The following is a 22596-nucleotide window of genomic DNA, read 5'->3' as shown; positions in this document are numbered from 1 at the left end:
ATTAAGCAACACATAAGATATAAATAAAGAGAGAATCAGTGACTTGGATTAGAAATTTGAGGAAATTACCCAGGACATTGAGACGGGAAATGTGAAGGAGAGGGTAAGAAATTTGTAGAACAGGATGAGAGGGTCTGATGTGTCTAGTTGGAATACCAGAAGGAGAGAATGAAGGAGAGGCAGTATTTCAAGAATGACAGAGAATTTATTAAAGCTATGAGTCTATAGAAACAGAAGAACATAATATACCAAATGAGTAAGTAGAAGCCCGTACTTAAACACACTGCAGTGACATAGCAGAATGGAAAGACAAAGAAAAGAGCATAAAGACTGCAAAGAGAAAAAATGCATAATCTGCCAGAGAAAAACAGTTATGCTGAAAACAGTGTTCTCAGCACTGACAATGGAAGACTGAACAGCATGATAATATCTTCAAAGTGCTAAGGAAAAATAACTATCATTATAGAATTGTGTACTGACCAAACTTTCAAATGGAGGGTAAAACAAAGACAAAAGCTTAAAATACTTTGCTATGGATTGACCTTCATGAAATAACTTCTAAAAGAATATGTCAGGAAAAAAAATTACCCCAGAATTAAAGTCCGAGATGCAAGAAGGATAAATGATCAAAGAAAGTCGTAAATGTGTAGGTAAATCTAAAGAGATATTATCTGAATATAGTAATTTTGGAATTAAAATGAAGGGTAGAATTTAAATACAGGGCATTCATAACATATAGTTCAGGAAGAGTTTGGTGAGAGTATAAATATTCGCAAATCCTTATCTTGTTCAGGGTGAGGTAGAGAGCTGGTGTTATTGCATTAACTTTAGACTTTAAAAATATAAGGTAAAAAGACAACCCAATTAAAAATGGACAAAGGATTTGAATGGACATTTCTCTAAAGAAGATACACAAATGGCCAATAAGCACATGCTCAGAAACACTAGCTATCAGAGAAATGCAAATGAAAATCACAGTAAGATGCCACATTACACCCACCCACTAGGATGGCTATTGTTTATCAAAATACGAATATTAAGTGTTGGTGAGGATGTGGAGAAATTGGAGTCCTTATATATTGCTAGTGGGAGTGTAAAATGGTACGGCTACTTTGAAAAACACTCTCGAAATCAGTTCCTTTAAAGTTAAAATTATATGACCCAGCAATCCCATTCACAGGTATATATCCAAGAGACTTGAAGAGTGGCTGCTCTCATCAATTTTTTTTTTTTTTTTTTAGACGGAGTCTTGCTCTGTCACCCAGGCTAGAGTGCAGTGGCATGATCTCAGCTCACTGCAACCTCTGCCTCCTGGGTTCAAGCAATTCTCCTGCCTCAGCTTCTCGAGTAGCAGGGATTACAGGCGCCTGCCACCACGCCTGGCTAATTTTTGTTTTTTAGTAGAGATGGGATTTCACCACGTTGGCCAGGCTGGTCTCGAACTCCTGGCCTCAAGTAGTCCACCCGCCTGGGCCTCCCAAAGTGCTGGGATTATAAGCGTGAGCCACCGCACCTGGCCCGCTCACATCAATTTTATATACTTGTTGCCAAAATCATTTTTAGTCTAAAGTGCAGTTTATTTCCTATTCTCAAGAATTTCATGACCTTCTGAGACTGACAAATTCATGTCCATATGCTCTAGTATTACTATAGTATTGGGACCAATCTGATTTATTTTAATGGATTTTTCTGGTATAATTTCTCACTTTTCCCTTTTGCTTATTACATGTAAAAGCTGAAAAAGAACTACTGAATAATCCTGTAAACACAAAAAACTTTGGATTCCTCCTCATCATTGAGAAGGGGAGTAACCTAATAAAACTGTTTTTAGAATTAATTTGGAAATGTTGAGTACTGTGAGTTTAAGAAGACACTAATGGAACCTGAAGTGGGTAGCTTTATTAATGTAAAGTCAGGACCAGGGATGAAGGACAAACAGTGGGGATAGAGAATAACCAAGTTGCTCAAGCTAGAAGTCTGGGAGTTAGCTTCAACTCTTCTCTCTCTCCTATATCCCCAAACTCTGATTGAATCATCATATCCTGATGATTGTATCTTGAGCTAAGTATCTCTCACCTTTCTTCACTTCTTTACATTTTCACTGCTGCTATCTTGGTCCAGTACACCACTACATCTACATTGCTGCAAGAATTTCCTAACTTCCCTGCATCAGTTTTTCACAACCTCCAGATCCGTTTTCTACCTTCTTGTCATAGTGATATTGAGAATAATTTCAAATTGATGTAACTTATTTGCTTATATTTTTCAGTGGTCTTTTATTGCTCTTGGGATAAAATTGAAAATCTTACCATGATTTTTATAAGGCCCTGCATGATTAGGCCTCTGCCCACTTTTCCAGTCTCATTTTATTCCTTTCTCCTTTGCTCTCTACTTTCCACATTACTAGACTTCATTTATTAAAGAAGTGAGAGAAGAAAATGAACCAACCTGGAGTTTTAGATCCAGCTTATTTGTCCTTCAAAAGTGAAGTAGAGGCTGGGTGCATTAACTCACGCCTGTAATCTTAGCACTTTGTAATCTTAGCACTTTGTAATCTTAGCACTTTAGACTGAGGTGGTGGGAGGATTGCTTGAGGCCAGGAGTTGGAGGCTAGCCTGAGCAACATAGTGAGACCCTGTCTCTACAAAAATTTTTAAAATGTGCTGGGTGCAGTGGCGCGTGCCTGTAGTCAGCTTGTCAGGAGAATGAGGTGAGATGATTGCTTGAGCCCAAGAGTTTGAAGCCACAGTGAGCTATGATTGCACCACTGCCCTCCAGCCTGGGTGACAGAGCAAGTTCCAGTCTAAGAAAAATAATAAATATAACAAATTTAAAAATGAAGGAGAAATAAAGACTGTCAGATGAACAAAGATGGAAAGAATCTGTTGCCAGTATACTTGCTTTGCAAGAAATGTTAAAAGAAATTATTTATAAAGAATGAAAGTGATAGAGGTCAGAAACTACATAAATAATGGAAGAGTGTTAGAGAAGTAATGAATGAAAGTAAAATATTTACTTACCACCAACACTGGAAAAGAAAGTAAAATAAAATAAAATATTTTCTTTTTCTTTCCTTTTTTTTTTTTTTTTTTGAGACATGCTCTGTCACCCAGGCTGGAGTGCCTTGGCGTGATCTGGCCTCATTGCAACCTTCGCCTCCCAGGTTCAAGCAATTTTCCTGCCTCAGCCTCCTGAGTAGCTAGGATTACAGGTGTGCACCACCATGCCCAGCTAATTTTTGTATTTTTAGTAGAGATGGCGTTTCACCATGTTGGCCAGGCTGGTCTCAAAGTCCTGACCTCAAGTGATCCACCCACCTTGGCCTCCCAAAGTGCTGGGATTATAGGCGTGAGCCACCGCGCCCAGCCTTTTTTATTCTTAATTAATCTAACAGCTAATGATTTGTTCAACAAACCGAAAACATATTAGGTGATTATAGCTTGTGGATAGTGAAATGATTGACAGCAGTATTTTAAGGGATGAGAAGGAGGAATTGGGAATCCTTTTAAGTATGTCTAGCTGGAAAGTGGTACAGCATTGTTTTAAAAAGAGGACTTGGGTGGGGTACAGTGGCTCATGCCTGTAATTACAGCACTTTGGGAGGCCAGGGTGGTTGGAGTTCAGGTGGGAGGCCAGGTGGCTGGAGTTGCTTGAGCCTAGTTCAAGACCAGCCTACGTAACATGGTGAAACTCTGTCTCTACAAAAAAAATCAAAAAATTAGTCAGGTGTGGTGGCTCACATCTGTACTCCCGGCTACTCAGGAGGCTGAGGTAGGAGGATCTCTTGAGCCCAGGAAGTTGACACTGCAGTGAGCGGAGATTATGCCACCGCACTCCCACTTGGGTGACAGAATGTGACCCTGTCTTAAAAAGAAAAAGAAGACTTGGATTAGTTGTTAATGTATATTGCAAACTCAGGGGCAACCACTAAAAAAGGTTTTTTTAAAATGTAGTGTAATTCATATGCTAGGAGGGGAGAAAAATAGAATCATGTAAAATACTCAGAACCAGAGGAGGCAGTAAAGAGTGGAATATAAAAAAAGAAAGGCACTGAATAGAAAACCGGAACAAATGTGGTACAGTGTTAACTATAGCAGTAATCACTTTAAACATTAGCTGTCTAAATAAACCAATTAAAAGACAAAGACTGTCTCAACAGATAAAGGAACAAGCCTCAACTATATGTTGACTATAAGAAGTCCCTTTAAAATATAAAGATACATAGATTAGACAGATTAAAAATGAAGAGATGGCAAAAGGTATACTATGCTAACATTAATCAAAAGAAAGTGAAGCTAATTATGCAGTCGTGTCATTTAACAAATGGGGATATATTCTGAGACATACATCAGTAGGAGATTTCTTCAGTGTGCGAACATCGTAGAATGTATTACAGAAACCTAGGTGACATAGTCTACTACATACCTAGGCTGTATGGTGTAGCCTGTTGCTTCTAGGCTGCAAACGTGTGCAATATGTAACTGTACTGAATATTGTAGGCAATTATAATACAATGGTAAATATTTGTGTAAGCATATCTAAACATAGAAATGGTACAGTAAAAATAAAGTATTATAATCCCTACAGCTAAAATAGAGTATTATAAATGTAAAATCTACAGTAAAAATTGAGTTTTATAATCCATAAGGACCACCATCATACATGCGGTCTGTTGGTGACCGAAACATCATTATGCAGTGCATGACAAAGCAGACTTTAGAGCAAGGAGAATTATCAAGAATAAAGAGGGGTATTACATAAAGATGATTAATTCTGGCCAGGCATAGTGGCTCATGCCTGTAATCCCAGTACTTTGGGAGGCCAAGGAGGGCAGATCACCTGAGGTCAGGAGTTTGAGACCAGCCTGGCCAACATGGTGAAACCCTGTCTCTACTAAAAATACAAAAAAATTAGCCGGGCTTGTTGGCACATGCCCGTTGTCCCAGCTACTTGGGAGACAGGAGAATTGCTTGAGCCCGAGAGGCAGAGGTTGCAGTGAGCTGAGATCGTGCCACTGCACTCCAGTCTGGGCAACAGAGCAAGACTCCATTTCAAAGAAAAAAAAAGATGATTAATTCTCCAAGAAGACGTAATAATCCTTAATGTGTGTTCAGTAACAACAGGGTATCAAAATACATGAGGCAAAAACAGATAAACCTGCCCAGAGAAATAGAAGAAGTAGTGGTACTGTGGTTGGATATTTAACATCTTTCTATCAGTAATTGACAGATCCAGCAGGCAGAAAATCAGTGAGGACATAAATGAAGTGAATAGCACTGTCAGTCAACTGGATCTAATTATGACATCTGTAAATTGCTTAATCCAGCAGAGATTATACTCATTCTTCTCAAACTCATGCAAAACATTCACCAAGACCACATTCTGGGTCATAAAACATGCCTTAAACATTTTTAGGAATAGAAATCGTACATAATATACCCTCTGACTGCAATGGATTTAACTATAAATCGATGGAAAAAATTGGAAAACTCTAAAATACTTGGAGATTAAACGACACACTTCTAAATAACGCACAGTTCAAAGATGTTTCAAGATAAATTGTAGAATATTTTGAACTAAATGAAAATATAAAATCAAAATTTGTGGGCAGTGAAAGCTGTGCTTAGAGGAAAATGTACAGAATTGAAAATATATATTACTAAAGAAGAAAGATCTAAAACCAGTAATCTAAGCTTCCACCATAGGAAACTAGAGAAAAAAAATCCAAAGTAAGTAGAAGAAAAGAAATAATAAGAATTAAAGCAGAAAACAAGGAAGTTGAAAATAGGAAATCACTAGAGAAAAATCAACAAAACCGAAAGTTGGGTCTTAGAAAATATCAACAAAACCAATAAATCTGTAGCTAAGTTAAATAAGAAAATAAGAAGATATCAATTATTAATACCAGAAATGAAAGAAGAACCATTACCAGTGATCCTTTTATTATTTCTTTTATTTTTAATTTTTGTGGGTATATAGTAGGTATATATATTTATGGGGTACATGAGATATTTTGATACAGGAGTACAATGCGTATTAATCACATCAGTGTAAATGGGGTATTCATTACCTCAAACATTTATTCTTTGTGTTTCAAACCATCCAATTATATTCTTTTAGTTATTTTTAAATTCACAATTAAATTATTTTTTGCTATAGTCACCCTGTTGTACTAGCAAATACTAGGTCTTATTCATTCTAATTTTTTTTTGTACCCATTAACCATCTGCACTTACCCTTTCCCCCACTGTACTTCTGAGCCTCTAGTAACTATCCTTCTACTCTCTATCTCCATGATTTCAATTGTTTTAATTTTTAGCTCCCACAGATAAGTGAGAGCATGTGATGTTTGTCTTTCTGTGCCTGGCTTATTTTGCTTAACATAATGACCTCATGTCAGGATCTCATTCTTTTTTATGGTTGAATAATACTTCATTGCGTATATATACCACATATCCTTTATCTGTTCATGTGTTGATGGACACTTAGGTTGCTTCCATATCTTGGCTATTGTGAATAGTGTTGGCAATAAACATGGGAGTGCAGATATCTCTTAGATAAACTGATTTCCTTTCTTTTGGGTGTATACCCAGGAGTGGGATTGCTGGATTGGTAGCTCTATTTCTAGTTTTTTGAGAAATCTCCAAACTGTTCTCCATAGTGGTTGTACTAACTTACATTCTTACCAACAGTATGTGAGGGTTCCCTTTTCTTCACATCCTGGCCAGCATTTGTTATTGCCTGTCTTTTGGATAAAAGCCATTTTAGCTGGGGTGGGCTATCTCATTGTAGTTTTGATTTGCATTTCTCTGATTATCAGTGATGTAGAGCACCTTTTCGCATACCTGTTTGTCATTTGTATGTCGTCTCTTGAGAAATGTCTATCGATCTTTTGTCCATTTTTAATTGGATTATTAATTTTTTTCCTGTAGAGTTGTTTGAGCTCCTTGTGTATTCTAGTTATTAATCCCTTGTCAGATGGATACTTTGCAAATATTTTTTCCCATTCTGTGGGTCATCTCTTTACTTTGTTGATGATTTACTTTGCTGTGCAGAAGGTTTTTAACATGATGTCATCTCATTTGTCCATTTTTGCTTTGGTTGCCTGGGGATATTATTTAAGAAGTCTTTGCCTGCTTCATTGTCCTGGAGAGTTTCCCCAAAGTTTTCTTTCAATAATGTCATAGTTTGAGATCTTAGATTTAAGTCTTTAATCCATTTTTGTTTGATTTCTCTATATGGAGAAAGGGATCTAGTTTCATTCTTCTGCATATGGGTATCCAGTTATCCCAGCACCATTTATTGAAGATACTGTCCTTTCCCCAGTGTATGTTCTTGGCATTTTTATTGAAAATGAGTTCACTGTAGATGTGTAGATTTATTTCTGGGTTCTCTGTTCTGTTCTATTGGTCTGTGTGTCTGTTTTTGTGATCCTTTTATTTACTGATAAAAGAATTAAATTTGATAACCTAAAAGAAATAGACCAATTACTTGAAAGGTACAATCTACCAAAACTCATACAAGAAGAACTAGATAATCTGAACAGCCTGGTATGTATTAATGAAATTGAATCAATAACTAACAACCTTCCAAATTAGAAAGCACCAGGCCCAGATGGTGAAGTCTACTGAATATTTAAGAAAGAAATAATTCTCCATAACTTTTCTCAAAAAATAGAAGCAGAACGAATACTTCCTAATTCTTTTGAGGACTACTGCATTACCCTAATGCAATTCATCTCATCCACAGGCTAATGAAGAAAAGCCATATGATCACATCAATAGATGCAGAAAAAACATTTGGCAAAATCCAACACCCATTTAGGATAAAAACTCTCAGCAAAGTAGGAATAAGGAGAACTTCCTCAACTTGATAAATCTATTAAAAAATAAAAACACAGGACAACTTACCTCTAGCATCATACTTAATGGTGAGAAACTAGGTTTTTTTCTGCTGAGATCCACAACAAGGCAAGGATATCTCACTATTCCTGTAAGACAGGAAAAGGAAATAAAAGGTCTACAGATTGAGAAGAAATAAATAAAGCTATCTTTGTAGATGACATGATTATTTATGTGGAAAATTTCAAAGTGACAACCTCCTGAAACTAATAAGCAATTATAGCAAGGTTATAGGATGCCAGATTAATATATAAAAGTCAGTCGCTCCTTCCATACCAGCAATGAACAACTGGAATGTGAAACTGAAAGCACAGTACCATTTACATTAGCATCAAAAATCTCCAAAACAATTAGGTATAAATCTAGCAAAATATTTACAAGATCTATATGAGGAAAACTATGAAACTTTGATGAAAGAAATCAAAGAATAAATAAGTTGAGAGGTCTAGTTCATGTACATGGATAGAAAAACTCACTATTGGCAAGATGTCATTTTTTCCCTACTTAATCTGTAGATTCAACACAATCTCAGTTGATTTTGTTCTTAACAAGTTATTTTGTGGATATTGACAGAATCTAAAATTTATATAGAAAGGCAGAGCATGAGCAACATGGCAAAACCTGTCTCTACAAAAAATACAAAAACTAGTTGGATGTGGTGTCATGTGCCTGTAGTCCCAGCTACTTGGGAGCCTGAGATGGGAGGATTGCTTAAGTTCAGGAGGTCAAGGCTGCAGTGAGCCATGATTGTGCCCCTGCACTCTCTAGCCTGGGTAACACAGCAAGATCTTGTATCAGAAAAAAAAAAAAAAAAAAAGGAAAGGCAAAAGAGCCAGAAGAGTCAACACAATATTGAAGGAAAAGAATGAATTCAGAGAAGGGACAGAACCTGACTTCAAAATTTAATATAGTAATCAAGAAAGTATGGTATGGGTGAGAGAATAGACAAATAGATGGAATAAAATAGAGATTCCAGAAAGACCCACACAACTAGAGTCCACTGATCTTTCAAAAAGGAGCAAAGGCAATTCAATGGAGAAAGGATGGTCTTTTCAACATGGTGCTGTAACAATTGGACATCCACATGCCAAAAAAAGATGAATCTAGACACCTTACATCTTTCACAAAAATTAACTCAGATCATAGACCTAAATGTGATGTACAAAAGTATAAAACACCTAGAAGACAACATAGGAGAAAGTCTAGGACACCTTGGGTTTGGCAATGAGTTTTATAATACAATACCAACAATAAAATTCATGAAAGAAAAAATTGCTAAGTTGGACTTTATTAAATTTAAAACTTCTGCTTTGTGAGAGACATTGTTAAGGGAATGAAACGACAAGTCACAGATGGGGAGAAAATCTGCAAAACACATGCCTGATAAAAGACTGGTTCTAAAATATACAAAGAGCTCTTAATATTCAACAGGAAGAGAACAACCTGAAAAATGGGCAAAAGATGTGAACAAACATCTCACCAAAGAAGATACAGAGATGGCAACTAAGCATATGAAAAGATACTCAACATCGTATGTCATTAGACTATTGCAAATTAAGACAAGATACCACTACACACCTAAAAGAATGGCTAAAATCCAAAACACTGACAACACCAAATGCTGGCAGGGAAGTGTAGCAATGGGAACTCTCACTGGTGGTGGAAATACAAGATTATATCATCACACTGGGAGACAGGTAGTTTCTTTCAAACCTAAACATAGTCTTACTGTAGGATCCAGCCATAGCACTCTTTGTATTTACCTATATTAGTTGAAAACATGTCCACGCAAACATCTGCACATGAATATTTATAGCAGCTTTAGTTGTAATTGTCTAAGATATTCTTCAGTAGGTGAATGGACAAACTGTTGTACATCCATAAAATGGAATATTATTCCATGATAAAAAGAAATGAGCTTTCAGACCATGAAAAAAAAAACATGAAGAAACTGAATGAGTATTGCTGAGTAAAAGAAGCTAATCTGAAAAGGCTACATACTGTATGATTTCAAATATATGACATTGTGGAAAAGGCAAACTTTTGTCAACAGTAAAAAGATGACTGGTTTCCAGGCACTAGGAATAGGGGGGTGGGGCTAGAAGAAGGGATGAATAGGTAGAAGCAAGCACAGAGAATAAAGATGTGAAACTATTCTGTATGATACTTGTAATGGTATATATGTGTCACTATACTTTCTCAAAACCCATAGAAGGTACTACATAAACAGTGATCCCTAATGTAAACTATGGACTTTAGCAATACTGTATCAATATGAGCTTGTTAATTGTAGCAAATGTACCATGCTAATACAAGATGTTAATAATTGGGGAAACTGGTAGGGAGGGGGAAAGGGATGTATGGAAACTCTTTGTAGTTGACACTCATTTTTTATCTGTAAACCTAAAACTGTTTTGAAAAATGTATATTTAAAAAAATGTATTTTTTGGAATAGAAAATAATTTAGACATTTGAAATAACCACAGATTTATCTTTAAAATTTTTAATTCATTTTTTAGTTTGTGTCATTCTCCATTTATTTACTTTCTGACTTGCATTGGGAGAAACAAATTTTATTTCTGACATTGATTTACATTTCTCTTTTATGAATTATTTCCTTTAATAACAAACCTGGTTCTTCTCTTGTTAAACTGTATTTTTTCCTATGACTTTGAATTACCTGATAGAGTGATACAATATTTAACTTTTTCTGACTAACTTAAACAGCTTTCTTTATGCTGGTGATCTAAACTGATGTAAGGACCTTATGTCCTTACAATTCATGAAGACACTAGTATAGTCTATGTTGAAATTTGCAAAGTAACAGTTTTGTCACATGATGTTTCGAAGACTTATTTTACTGGTTGCTTTCTAGAATTTTCAGATAGAAATTGTAAGAGAATTTTTTTGTTTTTTCTTTGAAAGTCTAAGAGAATTTATTCATTATTGTTCACTTAATAAACAGAAAGGGAACTTACCTGCATTTAAAAGATATTAAGCATGATATAATCCTTTTATCTTAGAATACTCAAGATGGCTTTAAGATAAATTTTGTTATTAATAGTTAAGTTTAAAATGTAAAAAATGTGGAGAGTATGTCTGTGGTTTTGCTTATGCTAACAAATAAGAGAGATTGCAATGAATTTAAGAATTATTTTTGAACATACTCATAAGCAGTGTAACTTGCTTGCATTTATGATTTAGGACCTGGTGTTCAACTTTTGGAGCATATATATCACTGTTTTGTTTTCGGATTTTGCTTTTCATTTATGTGTATTATGATAATAGGCCTACATTTGGGGACTTTAACAGGTATTTCTGCCAATGGATAGGAATGTATACATAATGTGAATTTTAATAAATAAGGAGGAAAATGTATCATATTTTGGAAATGAGAAAATTCTGGAGTTGCCTTCCTCATGTTTATTTTTTGTATTTATATGCTGTTAAGGGTCCATCACATTTGCGGTCCATGAATTTCTTATGCTATACGGAAACTCTAGAGTGCAAGTTACAGTTTTTTATATAGTCTGTATGGTCCAAGGTGAATTTATGGGAATGCATTTTTTTTTTTTGAGAGGGGAAAAGATAGGAAGCCTTCAAAAATTGTCATGCTCGTAATTTGAAAATCTGTTTTTACTTTTTGATGTTATATTTTTCATACTGCCCATTAAGCATATTATAGATTTATGATCACTGATGTATGTGTCTTAGGAATGTATGTGCTAATAGAAATGTCAGTAACTAAGTGTTTAGGTTAGTAAATCCCAAAAGATCTCAATAGCTAATTCATTGTAAATAATTTTCTATAGTGAGGGTTGCATAGCTGTGAAGCCCTTGACAGACTTCTAGGTATGCCTAAAGACTTAAGAGTTTTTAGTTAAAACAAAAACAACAACAAAAGGAGGTGACCATTTTTGCTTCATTTTTTAGGGTTTTTAAATTTGTTTTTGAGGCAGAGTCTTAACTTTGTTGCCCAGGCTGGAGTACAGTGGCACAAACATGGCTCATTGTAGCGTTGACCTCCTGGGCTCAAGTGATCCTCTCACCTCCAGCCATCGGAGTAGCTGGGACCACAGGGAGGCACCACCACACCCAGCTAATGTTTTAGTTTTTGTTTTTTGTAGAGATGGGGTCTCCCTCAGTTGCCCAGGCAGGTCTCAAACTCTTGGGCTCAAGCCATCCTCCTGCCTTGGCCTCCCAAAGTGCTGGGATTACAGGTGTGAGCTACCACACCAGCCAAGGGGTACATTTTTAAAGAATTCATTCAGAATCACAACATAAATTTATTCCACTGCAAATATGGAAAAAGTTCCAAGGGAAATGCCCAAGCTCTTCCTTCAAGTCTGTGTTGGGAAAGAAAGAAAAAAAGGAGTTGTTATTTCCCAGAAATTATCCCCTAGGGGAAAAAAGAAAAACTTATAATTTATCTGTGGAATCAAAAACTCAATTCAGGTTTTTAAAAAATATATTTAAAAATTCTGGCTAACACAGTGAAACCCTGTCTCTACTAAAAATACAAAAATTAGCCTGGCGTGGTAGCAGGCGCCTGTAGTCCCAGCTACTCAGGAGGCTGAGGCAGGAGAATGGCATGAAACCAGGAGGCAGAGCTTGCAGTGAGCCGAGATCGCGCCACTGCACTCCAGCCTGGGTGACATAGCGAGACTCCGTCTCAAAAAAAAAAAAAATGTATATATATATATATTTTTTTTTTTTAATTAAAGGTGATTACAACTATAGATGATGTTTCACCCTCTGTGTAACAACACTTTAAGATTTGCATATGTATTTGTGTCTTTGCTCTGACCAATTTTAATGAGTGATTGTGTTGGAGTCAACGTAACTTTTGTTTCAAATTAGATTATAAAATTGTTGGTTACTTTCTCAAGAAGGGAAGAAGCTAGCGGGAAAACTGGAATAGGGTGAGATTCTGACATTTTGTATATGGGTTGTTTTTAAAATACACTTGATCTTTAATACACAGCATGGTAAGCCATACACTAAAGACAAATTGTTGCCATTATCTTAGCATATTCCATGCTTCTATATTTTTTACCTACAGATTGTTCTTAAAGAATCCTTAATTTTGCTGGCATTCATACATTTTTTAAATCTATGATTATCTTTTTCCAGTTATAAACTATGAAATGCATTTAGTTTTTGCTTAATGTTTGTTTTTACTTTCTCCTCTGTATCTTCACAGCCTGAAATTGTTTTTCAAATGGTTAAGCTGGACTCCTGCTCAAATATAGATATTCAGTAAAAGTAAAAAATTATTGCACTTATACGTGGTAGGGAGTAGGGATTCAAAGATCAGGGGATATGGTTCTTGCATTCGAAAAGTTGAGGAGGCTGACCTAAAAACATACAGTCCACTAAAAATAGATTGTAAGTTTTGCAAAAGTGGGAATTCTTGTTTGTTTTTGTTTATTGCTGTGTTGCCAGTAAATAATTGTTTGGGAGAGTTAGAAAAACCTCTCAGGGACTGGCCATGGTGACTTATTCATGTAATCTCAGTACTTTGGGAGACCAATGTGAGAGGGTCGCTTGAGCACAGGAGTTCGACACCAGCCTGGATACCATAGCGAGACCTTGTTTCCACTAAAAATAGAGAAAAAAAAATTAGCCAAGCATGGTGACATATGCCTGTGGTCCCAGCTACTCTGGAGCCTAAGGTGGGAGAATTGGCTTGAGTCCAGGAGTTCAGGGTTGCAGCAAGCTATGATCATGCCACTGTACTCCCGCCTGGACAACAGAGTAAGACCCTGTCTCAAAAAAAGAAAAAGAAAAAAAAGTTTTTCAGGTGAGATGATACTTCAAGTATGAAGGAGTATATCAGGAAGAAAAAGAGACCAAGGAAATTAGCAACATACAAAGTCATGATGTGATGATGAAAGAGAATGAAAATTTTAAGGAACATTATAAAATTCTGAGTGGCGGCAGCACGGGAGGACAGTAAAAGAAAAGTCTTACTGAGTGGTAGATTGTAGGCAAGTCGTAAAGGCCTTGTGTGAGTTGTGTGATAATCTAAGGAATTTAGACTTCAGGGAACCAAGTCTGTCCAGTAATCAAGGAAACTCAGCAATTTGAATTGATGTTAATATTCAAACTATTTATTTTGCCACCATTACTATTACACTGGATATTATGCAGTATTGTTTCTTTTAAGTCCTTGATTCATGTGTAACAATACCTATAACTTAATTAAGAATCCTTGAAATAAATGTTTTTTTAAAAATCTCTGGGAAGAGTAAACTTGATTATTTATTTCTAAGTGAACTATAATTTATCTTTAATTTTTGTGAACTAGGGACTCTCCTAAGAAATTATCAAATGCAACTACAAATGCAATTTTTAAAAAGTAATCCAGTTTAAAGCTTTCTTTGAAAACAATTTTAAGTTTTTATGTTTATGATTTGAATAAGCACAAAATTATCTATTTTTGTCAAGAACCCAATTTTTCATGCTCTGCAAATTGTTTTCTGTTTCTATGTAAAAATTTTAATTATACTCCTATACTTTATTATAAAAGATACTGATTTGATTAGCATCCTCTTACCAGAAACACATACTAGACATGAGATTAAATCCTTTTGACTATGAATTACCTAAAAATTTCTAAGAAAGACCTGTGAGTGATTTAGAAAACTTTATTTGGTAAAGAGTATGAAAGTAGGAATGATTTATTCTTATAATTCAGCCTCGTTAGTAAGAATGGCTCAGGATTGCCTAGAGAAATGCCCAAATATTGTTCCAAAAGTTACTTTGAACTATTAATATTGAGTTATTTTCAATGTTTTCATTCAGTGAATTTCTCAACCCTTGGTTTTGAGAACATAATGCTAATTAAAGTGTCTGCTGTTGTTTAATGCTATTCCATTGTAACTGCTAATAATAATAGCATTTTTCTGCTTTATATAAAAAAATTATATTCAAAATGTTGTGTGTGTTCTCTGATTTCTTTTCTTACAGCTTGCCAGTATTTGCCGTGCTGAAATGTTTTAATTTATAATTTCCTTCCTTTGTACCTTTTAGTTTTCTCTGTTGCTGCTTTTTCTGTGACACGAGCCTTTCATTATAGTCACTCTTCTTTTTTCCTTCCCCACTTCTTTCTTTTCCTTTTTTAAAGCCATGAGAAGCCGATCCATTGGTGAATGTGCTCTGCCATCGGCCTATATACGCAGTGCTAAAAGTGCTCCTGTTCTGATCCATACTTCCAAACCCTTCTTGCCTGATATTGTTCTCACTCCCCTTTCTGATGAGCTTTCAGGTAGTGCCACCTCTGCTAATTTCTGCACCACCTTTTTCACTTTTTAATCCTCTGCTTTCAAATTTTGCTTAATCAAATAAACTCTTTAAAGTTAATTTCTTTGGGGGAGGTGTGGGAAAGTGGGAAAGTGATTGAGAAATCAACATTTTGAGTTATTTGAACTCTAATCCTGTCCTTGCAGTTCATTCTGGAAGTGCTAAGTTTAGTGCTGTGCCAATGTCCAGTATTTTTTGTTGTAAATGGCCAATTTTTTTTTTTTTTTTTTTGCTGTTTGATTTTTTTCTTCCTCTCAGGTGGTTAAAAGAAGTAGTAGTATACATTTATATAATAGAAGTCTTGTAAAAGATGACTTAGGAAGATAATCAGAGCATTGACTTTTAATTTCCCATTGTTTTGACTAATAATATCGTAAATCTTGAATAATTTATTCTGCATTATCTATAGTAATGGAACTAAGTAAGGGTAATCAGTATTTGGGAAAAGTATATAATCTAAAAGTTGCTTTGGAATAAATCTTTGTATTTATATTACATATAATCATATATAGAATTCTAAGGATTCACTCATTTTTAAACCATTCTGTGAAGCCCTAACTTCCAAGGAGCTTCAAAACCTGCTTAGCTTTCCAGTTCTGCCTCAGGTCGTTGGTCCCCAGTACTGGCACGGTCTGCTCTTCTATTAAGCTTTAATTAACATGTAATAAAATGCATAGATCCATAGACTCAACTGAATGATTTTTGAAAATTGTACATACCCCTATTAACCATCACCACAAACAAATTATAGGACACTTCCACTACCTCAAAAAGTTTCCCAGTGACCTTTTTGAGTCAATCACCACACACTCCTCCCCTCCACGCAAATACAACTTTTTGCTGTTCATCACCATAGATCAGTTTTGTTTAAAAAAAATTTTTTTGGCATAAATAAAATGATTGTGCATACTGTGCTAGCTCAAAGAAACCTACTTGTTTTGTTAACTTTGGAACCATAATATAATTAATTAGAAATGGTTTATAAGAAATTGGAGTTGATTTTTTAATTGATGACAATAATAGAAAAATTGGCCTCAATTCAAACCTTAATATCCAGTAAGTATTGATGAATGAATGGACGTATTTTACATCAGTGAAATTAGGCAACCTGAATATTTTAAGCTACCAGTACAGAAAATTAGTAAGATTTAAAAATATGTAGATGTAATAATATAAATTTTAATAGATGGTAGAAAATGGCACACAATTTTGTTACGTATGATGCTTAGCTACAAATAAAGAATTAGGATATTTTTGTCTCTTTAGTGCACCATTTAAGCACTGTACCTCCTTATGTAAGTAGCACAGATTTTGGTTGCTTACATCAAATTATAATCTACTTAAGTTGGCAAACAATGTTTCTGTTCTTAAAACTGAATTAGATACAGCTAAAAGAAACTCTGAGTTTGTTGTAAACTTCTCTTGGATACATTTTTTGCTCCTAGCTTTTATAAAAGACACACTTAGAGCATTTAATGCAAACCATTCTTGACATGTTTAGAAAAATTAAAATGAGCTTTGAACACTTCCATTATTATTTTATTCTATTTATTTATTTATTTATATCGAGTACAGAATTTGAATTCTCTTGGCCACTAATTCTTAAAAGTTTGATTGGATTAGCCATTCCTCTACTGTTTTAAAAAAACTGTCAGAAAGATTTATTTTTTTCTCCACATCTTAAGGGATTTACAGAATTTCTCATCTGCAACTTAATATATTGGCAAATATTCATGTTAAGTGCTAAAACATTTTTGAATAGCTAAAACAAAGATAAGGTTGTTCCTTTCAAAATATTTTAGAGTGGTGCCATACCCAGGATGAGAAGTTCCTATTTCAGAATTCTTGCTTTGCTGTAAATACATAATTCAGAAAGTTTACCTTTTTAATGATTTTATGATTTAAACATTTATGAGCACTGTTGGAAAGGAATTTTCTAAATGGCAATTTTATTTGTTGTATTCCTTTTCCCTATCTGGGGTAATATGCCTTCTATGATAAATTTAAAGATTTAGATGGTGTTGAGACATCAGTCACTAAAACAAAACAAACTTTATATCTGATTATCAAAATAATGTTCATTTTAGAAAACATGGATTATATGGAAAAGCATATGCAAAAATACACATAATCCTCCAAAACCAGTGATAATTTATTGACAACTTCAGATGCTTTTACTGCCAGTTTTTTATGCTTGTGTACATTTAAAATATAAAAGCATAATTACAGTTATTTTGAATTAAAAATCATTTTTTTCTCTTAGAATTTGAAAGAGGCAAGGAACCTGTCACTTTAAAATAGCAAAATCCCTCCTTTCCTGATTGCAAATGAAGTCAGGATTTTTCAAGCTGATACGTAAATTTAGAACACTTTCCAGGAGATGCAAATAGGTGTGTAGAGGAAAAGATTAAAGATTCATAGTGCAAATCAACATACCAAAGGCCCTTAGAAAACCTGTTAAAAAAAAAAACAAAACTGTTGGCCAGGCACAGTGGCTCACACCTGTACCCCCAGCAACTTTGGGAGGCTGAGGCAGGCAGATCATGAGGTCAGGAGTTTGAGACCATCCTGGCTAACGCGATGAAACCCCATCTCTACTAAAAATACAAAAAAACTAGCCAGGCTTGGTGGCAGGCGCCTGTAGTCCCAGCTGCTCAGTAGGCTGAGGCAGGAGAATGGCATGAACCCAGGAGGTGGAGCTTGCAGTGAGCCGAGATCGCCCACTGCACTCCAGCCTGGGCGACAGAGCAAGACTCCGTCTCAAAAAAAAACAAAACAAAACAAAACAAAAAAAAACACTGTTTATAATTGAATATGTCTCAGACTTATTTAAGCACAGAACACCTTTCCAAGTACACATATTGATATCCTGTGCCATTAAGGTTCCAGAGAGAACCAATATGAAAATTAAGCAGGATTAATCTTCTACCAGTTTACATTGTAGAAATCTAAATTATTGGATTGGTCTTTGCCTCTGCGATTCTTGGAAGCAAATTAAAGACTTGGAATTTGATTCCTCAGGTGTTAGGTGTAGAGCGAAGGAGAGTGGAAGAGATAAGAGAAAATGTATGAGTTATAAGAATAGAGAGTTGTAAAAATAGTGCTAAATTAAAAAACAATCACCAAAATCTTAGATCATCAACCAATCATACTTTTTAATTGCTGATGTTTCTTCCAAGGTTTGACTAAATTTTACTTTAGAATAGTTTAATGTGCAGAGAATTAATAAGAAAGTGAACTGTATGAAGGGGAAAAAGTAAATGGTTTTTCATGCTTTTGTAGCTCTCCCTCATGTGAATTAGCTTAAACGAACTCATAAAATATTTCCTGAGTCTATCTCTGAAATCAGGAAATGAGGTTTCTTCAACTACTTCACCAAAAAAAAACCTCAATGAAACGACTCATAGACAATCTACCTCTAGTTTATGGTTAGAAGTAGAATTTGTTAGAAAAATATTTATCTGATACTTTTGGATAATTGGGGAGGTAAAGGGAAGTCCTTTAAATCCTTTTTTTTTTTTAACGTACCAAAATCTATGAGAAAGGACCATCAGTTTTCTAAGTACCTTATTTGTTCCCAGCCCATTTTTCCTCCTCCAGTGTTCTTGTTCTAACTGTCCATACTACCTGCATTGTTGTAAGTATGATGCTATATGATATAGCTTTATATACAGCTATAGACTAACCTAGTTGAATAGTTGAGTATTCTTGAAGAGTTAAAAAAAAAAATTTTTTTTTTAATTTGCTCTGTTGCCTAGGCTGGAGTGCAGTGGTGCAAACATGACTCACTGCAGCCTTGACTTCCCTGCCTCAGCCTCCCATGTAGCTGGGATCATAGGCACGTGCCACCACATCCGGCTAATTTTTTTATTTTTTTGTAGAGACAGGGTTGTTGCCCAGGGAAATTCTGAACATAAAGTTGCCCAGGCTGGTCTTAAACTCCTGGGCTCAAGTGATCCTCCACACCTTGGCCTCCCAAAATGCTGGGATTACAGGCGTGAGCCACCACACCCAGCCCTTAAAGAGTTTTTCTTAAGCTCTGGGGACCAGTTTGTGGGCATTAGCACTATGTCAATGCACTGTTTCTTAACATCAGACTCATCTATAACAGTTTGAAAAATATGTATCAAATTTGATACAATATGTTGGCTTGCACAAACATCTAATATAATTTATTCTGGTGTCTGGGCAAGTACACTCCTTGGCTTCTCTCTCATTGGCCTTTGATAATTACTTATCATTACTGCACTAGATTGTAGACATTTGGTAACCCAGCCTGACAGTCATTATTTTCCTGATAAACAGATAAGAGAGAAGCCAGAAATCTGAATCATCGTTCTTAAGCAAATTACTTTTACTGCCAAAAGTAACACTTTAGTGAAAAAAGGAATATAAAAGTATATAAACATGGTAGGCAGCTTTGTGTATACTTCCACAAATGTTTCTTATTTAGTATTTTCTAATCAAGTACTATGAGTTTCTCATCCTGAAATTAAGCTTACAGACCCAGTTTCTTTCAACCAGTTCCCAAAACTGATTTGTCATTTTTGTTGCTATTGGACTCTGGTCTATCTAGGCTATAGTATGTAGACTGCTAATGTTGGGGACTGATCTCTTTTTATTAACGATATGTTATTATTTGAATTGAGCTCTTTATACTTCTGTTTTGTGACTGTCAATGAAAAATAAAATAGTATGTCTCACAGGCCTATCCTTTTCCTAAATTCTGCCCAATAAGGAGAATTTTTCATCTCATCAAAGAAGTAGGCCCTTCTTTATACAATCAAGAATTTTTTCCTGTCATCAGTGTAGAATAGGATATTAATATTTTACATATTTTCCACTTGTAATCTGCTGATTATAGCATAATTCCAATTAGATTTTTTTTTTTTAAGAGATAGGGTCTCATTGTGTTGCCCAGGCTTGATTGCTGTGGTGCCATCCTAGCTTACTGCAGCCTGGAACTCCTGGGCTCCAGCATTCCTCCCACCTCAGCCTCCTGGCAAATTAATTTTTTTTTCCTGGAATAATTTACGTTAATTTTTTTGAGACACAGTCTTGCTGTGTCGCCCAGCCTAGAATGCAGCGGTGCAATCTTGGCTCACTGCAACCTCCACTTCCTGGGTTCAAGCAATTCTTGTGCCTCAGCCTCCCGAGTAGCTGGGACTACAGAAGTCCGCCACCATGCCTAGCTAATTTTTTTTTAATTTTTGGTAGAGATGGGGTTTCACCATGTTGGCCAGGCTGATCTCGAACTCTTGACCTCAGGTGGTCCACCCACCTGGGCCTCCCAAAGTGCTGGAATTATAAGTGTGAGCCATTGCGCCTGGCCTGCATTAATTTTTTAAAAAGAACATCTCAAGAAAAATGTGAAGCTAACTTAAACATGACATTATATAGCATAATCATAAGCAAAACACTATACTTTTCTTAACATAAAAAATGTATTGGTAGTTTATGTTCAAAATTTTAAAATCAGGAAAACAATATTAGAATAAAAGAGAAGATAGTCGACTGGGCTAAATTTTAGTGGTTTAAATGAAAACTATTGAGCTTGATTTGTTGCTTTTAAGTCTTTTCATATGATTACAATAATGTAAAAACTGCTTTGAATTACCTGCAAATTGAACATCTAATCTTAAAAAGATAGAATTTTAATAGCCTCTGTTAATAATATTTGAAACATAGATGCTCTATCGTTTTTACTTACCTTGAAGTACATTGCCGTTGTTGCCCAAATAGACAAAAACTTAGGTAATTAGCAGAAAAAAACTGAGTTTCAAAATGGCATCAATTTCTATGTAAACTAGTTTAAATGATATTATGAATTTAGGGACCATAAAAATATTACTGATAGCTAACGTTCGTGCTTGACCAGTAAAATAATTTAACTTTAGTAAAGGGGATTTTGGCCCTTGATTCTATGATTCATTTCAGAAATTATTAAAATTTCTAGTGATATGTTAGTATTTTAACTGAAGAGTTTGTGAGTAACTAACTTGCTTTTTACCAATAAGCAGCTACTTTTTTTTTTTAAGGCGAGCTTTTCTTCTACCAGTATTTATTAAGCCCATACTTATGTGACAGGTCCTCTTTCAATCAATAGAGATATTGCAATGAACAAAACAAAAATCCTCAAGAGACTTAAATCTAGTGGAAAGGAGTACTTTTTTCTTAACATTTTATAAGCTGACAGTATACTTTAATGTACAGCTTTCCTTTCAAACTAACACAGGAAACTTTTTGAACAAAATATTTCCGGGAAAAAACCGGTTTTTTAATCTAGAAATAATTGACCCATTTTAATGCTAAACAGTATTAAGGAAACCCAGAGATAAAACTTGACATTTCTGTAACTTTATAGAGTTTTTAAACTCTAAATTTAAATTTATTTTACCAAAGCATTTTCTCAATGTTCAAAAGCAGTTTGTGTAAATCTCTTGAAAACAACGTTTTTATTGTTTCACTCATTAAGTGGTTTCTAATGCTTTAGATTAACATTTAATTGAAAAGACTATACTTTCAAGCATAATTTCTAAGGTATGTTAGTAGAGGAGTTTCTCTGAACATGGGTGATCGTTCTTCTCTTCCTCTGGGAGAGTAAGAGGACACAGTTGGTTTCCCTTAAGAAAAAGAAAAGAAAGAGAAAAATATATAAAATTTTATTTAAAAGCTTTCATTTTTTAAGTTAAAATATAAGAAGCATAATTAAATTGTTTTGAGGGCATTTTTATTTAAACCTGATGCCACCATTATTTTTAGCAATTCAAAGTTTTTTTATTGGTTCCTTCTGTATAATTTACTAACATTTGTTTTAGTTAGATTTTTATTTCTAACATTCTTATCTTTATAGAGATAAATCACTATGCTGCTCTGTGGTTTTTTTAAAATTCTTTTTTGTTTATATTGAGATATAACTAAAGCCTGGCTTTATGGTTTTTTAATAATACAATTAATTTTTACCAAGTTTTATTTAAAAATTAATAAATTATTTCATGAGTACAAAACATATATGATGTATTATTCAAGAGATTAAGAGTAAAGATTAATTTCTGCCTTACTTGACACCACAACTCCTCACTTTGTAGTTGTGTAATTTTGGACAAGTCACTTAAAGAGTTTCTTCATTTATAAAATAGGCATAGCACCTACTTCATGGGGTTGTTGTGAGGATTAAATGAATGATATGTCAGATGCTTACAACAATACCTGGCATGTGGAAAATACTATATATAGTTTAGTTATTATTTAGTCTTTTTCTCAGTAAAGTTCAGCTGTATATATTTGCTCAACTAATGTAAGGCTTATTAGAGTCAATTATGCTCAATTCAAGTGCCATTTGTATTGACATAATTCAGCCCTCTTGATCTGAATTTAGCATAAAGTTGGT

At 34.7% G+C, this 22596-nt stretch overlaps 1 protein-coding gene across 24 annotated transcripts in view; it reads left to right on the top strand.

Moving 5' to 3' along the window:
* The window catches only part of RALGAPA1 (Ral GTPase activating protein catalytic subunit alpha 1), a 270940-nt gene that overhangs the window by 93963 nt on the left and 154381 nt on the right, over positions 1-22596 (top strand). For 13 of the 24 annotated variants that reach the window (XR_007063998.1, XM_005267492.5, NM_001346247.2 and 10 more), the window contains one exon: positions 15031-15171. The exons of the other annotated variants lie outside the window; for them this stretch is intronic. Coding sequence is in view for 12 of the 13 variants with exons in the window: in XM_005267492.5 (XP_005267549.1) it covers positions 15031-15171 (141 nt within the window). In the remaining variant the exon portion in view is untranslated. The remainder of the gene's footprint in view (positions 1-15030; positions 15172-22596) is intronic. 24 annotated transcript variants of the gene reach the window in all.

This window comes from Homo sapiens, chromosome 14, assembly GCF_000001405.40.
Source record: "Homo sapiens chromosome 14, GRCh38.p14 Primary Assembly".
Taxonomy (NCBI): domain Eukaryota; kingdom Metazoa; phylum Chordata; class Mammalia; order Primates; family Hominidae; genus Homo; species Homo sapiens.
Note: the sequence above shows the minus strand (reverse complement) of the source record. Positions and strands in the feature narration are given on the sequence as shown.